Source organism: Homo sapiens, chromosome 10 (assembly GCF_000001405.40).
Source record: "Homo sapiens chromosome 10, GRCh38.p14 Primary Assembly".
NCBI classification, from domain to species: domain Eukaryota; kingdom Metazoa; phylum Chordata; class Mammalia; order Primates; family Hominidae; genus Homo; species Homo sapiens.
The window spans coordinates 125572597-125582659 of record NC_000010.11 but is presented as its reverse complement, the minus strand read 5'-3'; the positions used below and the strand labels follow the sequence as shown (position 1 = coordinate 125582659).

The following is a 10063-nucleotide window of genomic DNA, read 5'->3' as shown; positions in this document are numbered from 1 at the left end:
ACAAATGATGAATTGGTGCCTTTAGGTGTATGCCGCTGAATCACTCTCAACTAAACTTTTAAGCAGCTAAGTAAGCAGTCAAGTTCACTCAAATAAATGATAAAATCCAGTGCACTTGGCCACCACTTTGGATCTGTAGGCACGCACGCAGCAGAATGGAAGAACCAAACTTAAAGTTAGGTATGTGCATTTATTTGAAAGACATGACCATGCTCTTGAGACTGGGGAAGTTATCTGTTTTTAGGGATGCACCCTGGCCCTGTGGAGCTGGCAGCCACCTCACCTTCCAGAGCCTGAACTTCCTCCTCTGTGAAATGTGCAGAAAATTTGTGGTCTAGAATTTGAGGTTAAGAAGATACAGTTAAATTATGGGAGTGAAAGTGCTTTACAGCTAGACATCACTGAAGTGAAACTCATGATTCTTCTTAGGGATGATGCATCAGTTAGGATACAGGCTGCCAGCCCTCCCTGAGGGCACCACTCCACCCCACCCCTGCGGGATGCTGCTGGCCATCTCTCTGAGCATGTTCCTTGGCTTTCTCACTCCCTTGGCCTTGCCATGGGAAGGCACTCAGATTCGCTTCCTCCAGCTGGCTGAGTAGGGAAAACCACCCCATCCCTGAGGTCTGGTGAGAGCCCCTGCTTACCCCCTAAGACCATGCGTCACTGTGGCCTTGTATGAGTGGAGCTCAGCCTCCTCCTCTCACTGCTGCCTCTGTGGCTGAAGCCAAACTCTGCTCAATGCAGGCTTCTTTGGGTGGGAGGACAGACAGTTACTTACCCTCTACAGGGATATGCCCAGTTCATGGCATCTGGGCCTCAATTATTTCCATGGGTTGGGAGGTGTGAGCTCAGATAAGGTTGAGAGACCACCACCCTACATCCCCCAGTGACCACTTCTCTCAAAATCCCAGGGTTGAGTGACTTACCCACCTTCTCTGTTTCATGATTCTTTGTTTGAGAATGACAGGATTTAATTCAATTACTCAACCTTAGGGGGGAAAAAGGCAGAGACTGAACTGGCTTTAGGGATAATCCACAGACAGGCCATTCCTGATTAGTTTGGGTTCCCTAAAAGCTGACTCTGAGAGAAGTAGGTGAGTGCAGGTAGTTTACTTAAAAGGTGTTTCCAGAAAGTCCTTGTAAGGACCTGGGGGAAAAGTGGGACAGGAAATTGAGAATACCCAGGAGGATATGCCCGAGTGGGGAGTTACCCAGGAGGATGTGCCCGAGGGGCGAGTTACGCAGGAGGATGCGCCTGGGAGGATGAATTACCCAGGAAGATGTGCCTGAGTGGTGAGTTATGCTAGGGGCAACAGGGCCTTTCTGGTAGGGACCCTCTGAGAAGCCATCGCATCAGCATCAGCATCTTCTCGGTACTAGAATGGGAGGCTGGGGGTGTTTGTCAATCAACTCCCGTCCCCGACTGAGGGTTGCCCCTGGGAACCTAATCTCCCTGTTTAGGGTGTGCCTGGTTGCATCAGAGACAGAACAAGGTGGAGAAAGGCCTCAGGAAGAGGGGAAACATGTGGGGACTTGAGATGGGAGGGAAGCTGTCCCTAGGCTGCTGCTGCTAGAGAACTCAGGTGGGCCGGGGCTATGGAGTGGGCACCAACACCTTCTACTCTGAGCACAAATGTCCTTGGGACTCCTTTGTCTGTGTCTGCTGGTTTTTTCACTCTCTCTGACAGCAAGTGGGCTTTCTTCAGGTTGCTCCATCTCAGGCCACTCTGGGTTGAGGTCCTTAGAGATTATAGAGGACTCTTCCCTTCCAGCTCCAGGCAGGAAAGTCCCAGGAAAGGACTCTGATGGGCCTGGTTGTGTCATGTGACCATCCCTATGCCAATCATGGTAGTCAGGGTGATGGAAGATTATGATTGGGCCGGGATGGGTCATTTCCCTACCCCTGGTCAGAGGGATGGGGCCTGTAACTGGAAGCGGGAGGCTGAGGTCAGTAGAAGCTTGCACCCTTTCTGGTCATTGGACTTTGACCAGGACCAGCCAGCCCACCTAGCGGGCTTCAGTAATGTGGGCCCTTGGTGACAAGGGTTGGGGTCTGATCCCTTCCATCTCAGAAGCTTCTGGGACCTAAGTTTATGTTTTCTCTTTTCTTCCCTCCAGCAGTCTTCAAGCTCAAAAGTTTCTTTCCTCCCCTTTACCCCTCCAGGCACTGGGACAGGCAGGAAGCCACTTAAATCTCATAGCCCTGTCTAGCTGGTGTATTTTATGGTATTCTGGGAAAACTCTCCTCTTCCATTTATCAGGCATGAATAAAGTTGGAGAAAACCTTTTGACAAAGGGTACTACCACAAAAGAGCAAATGGAAAGTTTTTAAATATTTTTCACACCTTAGGGCACTTGACATTTTAGTTAGAGTCACGCTTTTGCTTTCCTGTACTAGAAATAAGACTTTCACTTGCCTGACTTTAATGAGTGTTAAAGGGATCCTTTCATGGTTTAAAGACAAGTCCAATGTGCAAGAAACTAGTGGTAAAAACCAAGCAGCCATTGGTTGGAGAGAAGCTGACACTCCAAAATATCCTCCTCCATGTCTAATAATACAGACCATGCCTTTTCAGAGCTGCATGTTCATTTATTCTTTTATTCAACTAATATTTATTAAGTACCCAACAGGTACTTTCTAAATCATGTTGACCAACATCTAACAACATTCTTGTTTTCAAGAAGCTTACTTCAAACTGGGGAGACTGTATTAGTCCATTCTCACATTGTGCTAAAGTACTACCTGAGACTAGGTAATTTATAAAGAAGGGAGGTTTAATTTCCTCACAGTTCCACAGGCTGTACAGGAAGCATGGCTGGGGAGGCCTCAGGAAACTTACAATCATGGTGGAATGTCAAGGGGAAGCAGGCATGTCTTACATGGCCAGAGAAGGAGGAAGAGAACAAAAGGGAAGGCGCCACACACTTTTAAACAACCAGGTCTCACGAGAATTCACTCACTATCATGAGAAAAGCAAGGAGGAAATCCACCCCCATGATCCAATCACCTCCCATCATGACCCTCCTCGAACAATGGAAATTACAATTCAACATGAAATTTGGGCAGGGACACAAATCCAAACCAAATCAGAGCAAGAAGATGGGCTTGAAGGAATGAGAAAGCAAGTGACATGATTTGACTGTGTCCCCACCCAAAATCTCATCTTGAATTGTAATCCAAATTGTAATCCCCACGTGTTGGGTGAGGGGCTTCATGGGAGGTGATTAGACCATGGAGGCAGTTCCCCCATGCTGTTCTCATGATAGTGAGTGAATTCTCATGAGACCTGGTGGTTTTATAAGGGGCTTTGCCCCCCTTCCCACTGCATTTTTCCTTCCTGCTGCCTTGTGAAGAAGGACGTGTTTGCTTCCTCTTTCACCATGATTGTAAGTTTCCTGAGGCCTTCTCAGCCATAAGGAACAGTGAATCAAGCCTCTTTTCTTTATAAAGTACCCAGTCTCAGGCAGTTTTTTATAGCAGCATGAGAACGGACTAATACGGCAAGCTTCTTTCCAAGAATGAGTGTGCCAGAAATGAAGTAAAGCAGAAGTTATTCAGGGAAGCCTCACCAAGGAAGGCATTTTTGAGTCAATATCTGACTAATCAGGAGTCCTTTCTGTAACGAGTTGGGGAGGAGACAGATAGAGGCATGAGCATGTGCCAAGGCCCTGAGGCAGGAACGAGTTTGGGGGCTTCAAGAACTAGGAAGGAGGCATGGGCGACCAGGGCACAGCATGTGGGGAAAGGTAGAGGTGGGTCGGAAAGGGAGTCCATCAGCAGGGCTGCAAATGAGGGTTTTGGTGTCAGGGCAACAAGAAGCCATTGAGGGCTGTGAGCAGGGGATTGGCACAGGTGGGTTTGGTTTTTGAGAGGTTGCTCTCACTCCTGTGGGGATAATGGCTGAAGGGACCACAGTAGTCTAGGCATGAGATGGGGTGGTCTGGCCATGGGTGTAGCAGAGGAGATTCTAGAGGTAGAGCCACAGAATGTTTATAGACCGGACAGACAGGATGGAAAATGAGAGGAGGAGGGACGACAAGGTACCCCACCTTCCCTTGGCTCTGTTCTTCAGGGACAGCAGAGCCCGTTTAAAGCTGGGTAAGCCCATAGCCAAATGAACTCTTTTCTGAGTCATTGAAAATACCTGGGTCCTGTCCATGTTATCTTGGGAAAAAAGAAAATTCAAGTCAAAGAATGACTGAAAATTCAGTTCTGTTAACTGACGACAATTTAATTCCAGTTGAAATGTCATTCCTGTGCCAGCAAACAAGCTCTACTCAATCACTATCCTTGTGTGACCCAGGGATTTATTTTCATCATCCATAGTAGTCAAGTTGAGCTAAACCAGAATTTCATTTTGACGTGAATTTCAATTAAGCAGCTCAAGCCTGTGGGTTTGGATCCACGTATTATCAGCAGCTCTCAGAACAGCATCTTCTCCTCACCTGAAGCAGAAAGTGCTTTTAGAAAACCCTGTTATCGCCCACATCCCACAGTAAATCCATAGGTTCTCTGGGAAATTACTGTTTTCCCTGCAGTGGGCTGTGGCAGGAGAGCACCACCCTCCACTAGCATTCAAGGCTGTCCAGTGGACTCAGTTATTTAAAAAATGGGGAAAAATAAATTTAGTGATTAATGACTATAATGCTGATAAATATAGCCATTTCAAGGCATGCTCTCATAGAATATGACATTTGTTTATTTCAGCAGCCCTGTGAGAGTCACCAAGACCTGCCCTTTTTAATCTTTCTTTCTCCTCTCTTTGCTCACATTCCCCCGGAAACCAAAAAAAGTCAGTACTCCTTCCAGTTATTTGTGCAGTCTACAAACTTTTTCTGCCAAAGAGCTGAGTAGGAAAGGAAGTGGATTGTGCAGGGAACAGAGTCAAAGGAAATAACATGAGAAAATCCTTCTGTTATAATTTTAAGTAAAAAGAGCAGGATGCAAAATTGTCTATACAATATGGCAGGACTATATTAAACACGTACACGTGCCTGGAGAAAAAAGACTTGGAGGAAATACTCTATCGTGTTAATTACAGTTGTTTGGAGATGACAGGATTATGGGTGATGTTTTCACTCCACATTTTAAATTATTTTTTATGATTTAAAATAATGAATACTTATATTCAATTTTTTTGTGTGTGTTCTTTTCTTTGAGACACAGTCTCACTCTGTACCCCAGGCTGGAGTGCACTGGTGCAATCTCAGCTCAATGCAACCTCTGCCTCCCAGGCTAAAGTGATGCTCCCACCTCAAGCCTTCTGAGCAGCTGGGATTACAGGCGTGCGCCAACATGCCTGGCTAATTTTTTGTATTTTTAGTAGAGACAGGGTTTCGCCATGTTTCCCAGGCTGGTCTCCAACTCCTGGGCTCAAGCAATCCTCCTGCCTCCACCACCCAAAGTGCTGGAATTACAGGCATAAGCCACTGCACCCAGCCTGATATTTACTGTTTTGTCCATGCAGAAGAGCACCTGAGACCTCCTGGAAAACTTCCTTCCTGGTTTCAACCCTGTGCTTCTGCTGAGGGCTGCCCCTCATTGTACCCCATCCTTCCAGTCAGAGAGATAGACCCAACTGAGCCAGTAATGATATCCCATTCCCTTGCCCCAGTTCATGGATGGGCCTAGGGCTCAGGCTAAGTCTCACTAAATCCTTCTCTGGGGTGTTTTTAAAGCTTGGGCAGGGAGAATAAGGCCCCCTTTCCTCTCTGATTGCTGAACTACAAGGATTTAAGCACACAACTACTCATGGTTCTACATCTTCCCTCTTCCTCACAGGAAAGAATGACAGCAACGGACCCACAGGGAGAACCAGACAAGAGACAAGAGTTCTATGAGCCGGTGAGGACCCAGTCCATTCCTCATCCAGGCCTGAGAACTAATGCACCCCTCCTTGCAGTGTGAGCTCTTTGGGAGCAAGTTTCTGTCACCCATTCCCCAGAGTCCTGACTAATAGAATGTGTATTAGTTGGGAAGAAAAGGACCTTTTGTCTTAGCCTAGCTAGTTAGTAACCACCAGGATTTATTCAGCATTCTTGGAAAAATAAATTTCCAGCTATGGAGAAATCCTCTTATTCTGCTTGCCTGTGTGGGCGCAGGTATTAATAGGGCTATCTCCCTGGCAGGAAGAATGATCTGTCTAATGGTCTTTTTTGTCTGCCCTCTTAAGCCAGTGAGATGATGTTTGTCCTGTTGTTTCACTCTCAGAGTAAATGTATAAACCCTAAAAATCAGATAGGACCACTCTGCCCCTGACAGAGCATCTTTTGGAGTTGTATGAGAGCATCTCAAAAGGAGTACCTTCATCAGTAATCCCAAAGGGTAACTTCCCCGATGGATGTGAAGTTTACTCAACGTCGTGCAAACAGAAACTGTCCGGTGTAGACACTGTGAGTCCTCTACAGAAAAACACACAGCTTTTTACACATGCAGGGCCCATCCCATGCAGCAAGAGCACGTCTGAACTGTGCATTGTCCTGACTGTCCTTCAGGCAGAGCCATCCAGGAGTTAGGGGAGCAGGAAGGACCCAGAGGGACTCAAGAACTGGGAACACTGGTGTGGCTGGCCCAGGGAGGAGGTGGGCAGGCCCCGGCTCCATGAAAGATGGGTGTGCCATGGCTCCTTCACAGTTACCACGTGGAGGTACTCACGTGTTCATCCAAGACTCAGGGACTGTCTCAGCATTATGGCTCTGAAAGATAGGTCCAGGCTGGGGCTGGAGCTACAGAGAGCAGGAGTTGCTCATGTTGAAGGCTGTGCTGCAGGGCTGGCTCTGATGTAGCAGTGGATTAACAGGTTAAGGCAGGAAAATTGAGGCACCAGTCAGTCCATTCATTCACCCATCCATTTATCCATCTAGCCACCCACAAAAATATTCTGAGCATCATAAGCCAGGCACCATGTCAGGCACTGGCGGTACAACACCAGATTAGACGGGTAGCCCCTGACCTCAAGGAACTTGCATCTGGTCACGAACAAAGATGAGGAAGTGGCAAGTGTGCAATAGGAAAATGGAGTCTCTAGTGGGCTGCCGCCCATTGAAGGAGTTAGGTGGGAATGGCTCTGAGCCAAGTCCTGTTGGGGAGTAGGAGGTAGGGGAGGAGATGGCAAAGGCAGTGAGAGGTGGGGGAAGCAGGAAAGGCAGGCTTGGTTGAGGAAACAGCATGTTCAAAGGCCTAGAGGCAAGACGTGGAAGAAAGGGGTTTCAGGCTGTCTGGGGCATAGATTGTGGGCGGAGGAGTCTTGAAAGATGAGGGAATGGGTTGGGGAGGTGGGGAGGCCCCATGTTTAAAGATTTATAAGCTAGGTTTAAGAGGATTTTGTTTTGTTTTGTTTTTGTTTTTTTACACAAGATCTCACTCAGTTGCCCAGGCTGGAGTGCGGTGGTGCCATCAGAGCTTACTGCAGCCTCAAACTTCTGAGCTCAACCAATCCTCCCACATAGTTAGGACTACAAGCATGCACCACCTTGCCTGGCTAATTTTTTTAAAAAGTTTTGAGATGAGATCTCACTGTGTTGCCCAGGGTGGTCTTGAACTTCTGAGCTCAAGCAATCCTCTTGCCTCCACCTCCCAAAGCGCTGGGATTTCAGGCGGGAACCACAGTGCTTGGCCTGAGTGTGGTCTTTCTGGTGAGAGCAGTGGAGTGACATGAAAGGTTTTTCAGCAGAGAATTGTCAGGTCTGGGTTTAAGAACAACCCTGGCTGCTACATACAAAACGAAATGGAGGAGGGGAGACTGCAGGGTGGGAGAAGCTTGCCTGTCCCCGCTCCTTCCTTTCAGCCCACCATCACCTTCGCCCCTATCCAATTCTAGAGCCGAGTTCTCCGTGTGGGAGAAGTCCTCCCTACAGAGAAGCAGAGGTCATAACGGTGCTGTTCCCTGTTCTGTGTCCCCAGCTGGGCACTACGCCTGGCACTAGGAGGTGGGCAATAAACATCCGTTCCCCGATGAACGGCCACCCGAATCAATCTGTAGGAATCCATGTTCTGCCTTAAATCTCAGCATTGTCCATTTCTAGCTATGGGGCCTTGGTCTCGCTACCAAGTCCTTCCATGTCTCCGTTTCCTCACCTGTACAATGGTGGGAATTATTTTACTTACCTCATACTTTTGTTGGGAGGATTGAATTACATAAAACACATGAGGCCCATGCCCGGCACCTGATAAATGTTAATATTCTTGGGCTGTGGAGGTTCCCTTGCCAGGTGACGGAAGTGGAAACCCCCTCCTCTCAGTCAGGGCCAGCACAGCCAGGGTTGGGAAGGTGTGGGAGGTGGAATAATGGCCCCTTGAAGATGTCACAACCTAGTCCCTAGAGCCTGTGAATATGCTATGACACAGGACAATGAAGGTTGCAGTTGGAATTACGGTTGCCAACCATTCCCTCAGATGGGGAGAGTTTCCTGGATCATCCAGGTGCTCCCAAAGTCATCACAGGGGTCCCCGTGAGTAGAAGACGGAAGCAGGAAAGAGTCACCATCAGGTGACATGGGAATGACTCAACCTGCCATTGCTGGTTTTGAAGATCCAGGGAGGGGCCACTGCCAAGGAATGAAGCAGTTTCTAGAAGCCTGAAAAGCCAAGAGCACAGATTCACCCTCGAGGCCCCAGAAGGAAGCAGTCCTGCCAACACCTTGACCCTCGCTCAGGGAGACCCGGTTTGGACTTCCACCCTCTGGAACTGTGAGATGATACATTTGTGTTGTTTTAAGCCACTAAGTCTGTGGGAATCTGTTATTGCAGTGACAGGAAATCAATAAGAAGAGAAGGCCCCAAATCCGTAGATGTGGGGAGCCAGGGCAACACGCCAAGGCTGAACGGGGGCTGCAGGGCCCACCTTGGGGAAACTTGGGGGAGCTACTCCTCCCTCACGGCAGCCATGGCATTAGGGGGAGCTGTCAGTCACTGGGCTTGGAGAACACAGCTGCACTTCTGGAGGTACGCATGGGGTCCCTGGGTTTACTGAACCGAGGTTGGGGAGAGAGGGAGGCCCTCTTGGGTGGCACAAGTGGTCCACATGGGAGGTAGGTGGTGGTGGTGGCCATACTCCCAACAACATCCTGCTACAACAGGGCATCTGGCAGGAGCCATCAGCAGCCAGGAGGGCAGCAGAGGGGTCGGGACAGGTGCTGAGCAGCCCCTCAGCAGCCCCAGCCCCTGGGGGTCTGCAGGGAAGTACAATGCTCGGTGCCCCCCTAACCCCCACTTCCTCCCAGCTGCTGAGTTAAAAAACAAAGGGTGAAGAGAAATGAAAGTGTTGCTAAAGTTCCAGGAGCGACAGTGGATGAGCCTGGGGTGAAATGTCTGTCTCTGGGTACAAGAAGGTCAACTCCTGACATTGGTGGGGCCCAGCACATGAGTGCATGCTAAAAACAAATGTGTTAAATATGGTAAAAATATGTTTGTAGTTTGTACATGACAGAAAGTTGGCAAAATTTCAAAGAAAACTAAATTTAATTATTATTGTGTATGTTTAAGCATTTTACTGATGGCTCGGTGATGGATTGGTAATAAAATTGGGATGCATAACTCATAAATTATATACTTATTCCATAAAATTTATATTTCTCATTTTTATTTCAGTAAAATCACTAATTATCTTGTTATAATAAAGATTTCCATATAATTTACATGTCACATGGAATAATGCCAAATTAGACAACATTTCTTGAGTTATCATAGTTCTTAGTTTTTTATTAACTTCAAATTGAAGCAGTAGCTGCTGAAGTCATCAATAAACTTCTTCCAGTAATACTTAGATGCCAAAATAGACCATGAATTTTACATATCATGTATGTAATATGATAAATTATTGCAGAAAATGTTATAAATTATTATAATTTTGTCATATATACAATAACCATGTATTTAGCAATTTTAGCCATCTCTTAAAGCAGTGTCTAGATTGATTTAATATTTCTCAATTTCTTCTTTCAAATTTTTCAATGCTGGGATATTATGAAGAAAGCTGAAAATGTCAGTAAATTGCTCAATTTTTTCATATCCCTACTCAACTAAGACTCTTCTCTGATCCACAGTACCCCCAAAATATTA

At 47.1% G+C, this 10063-nt stretch overlaps 1 protein-coding gene and 1 long non-coding RNA gene across 2 annotated transcripts in view, besides 1 other annotated feature; one reads left to right on the top strand and one right to left on the bottom strand.

Moving 5' to 3' along the window:
* Nucleotides 1-6138, top strand: part of TEX36 (testis expressed 36) — a 106642-nt gene extending 100504 nt beyond the window's left edge. Inside the window, exon 4 of the mRNA NM_001318133.2 lies at nucleotides 5786-6138. Coding sequence (NP_001305062.1) covers nucleotides 5786-5911 — 126 coding nt within the window. The 3' untranslated portion in view covers nucleotides 5912-6138. The remainder of the gene's footprint in view (nucleotides 1-5785) is intronic.
* TEX36-AS1 (TEX36 antisense RNA 1) lies at nucleotides 4215-8289 on the bottom strand. Its single transcript, NR_023362.1, has 5 exons — nucleotides 8111-8289; nucleotides 7521-7635; nucleotides 6659-6780; nucleotides 6308-6405; nucleotides 4215-4449 (listed from the first exon to the last, which is right to left on the bottom strand). It is a non-coding gene; the product is annotated as a TEX36 antisense RNA 1 (long non-coding RNA).
* Nucleotides 7813-9012: an enhancer, noted in NCBI's record as "BRD4-independent group 4 enhancer chr10:127262217-127263416 (GRCh37/hg19 assembly coordinates)". NCBI's record gives its function as "activates an origin of replication core promoter dependent on BRD2, P300/CBP, MED14 and CDK7 cofactors, and independent of BRD4, by STARR-seq in HCT116 cells {active_cell/tissue: HCT116}" and the evidence as "EXISTENCE:reporter gene assay evidence [ECO:0000049][PMID:35650434]".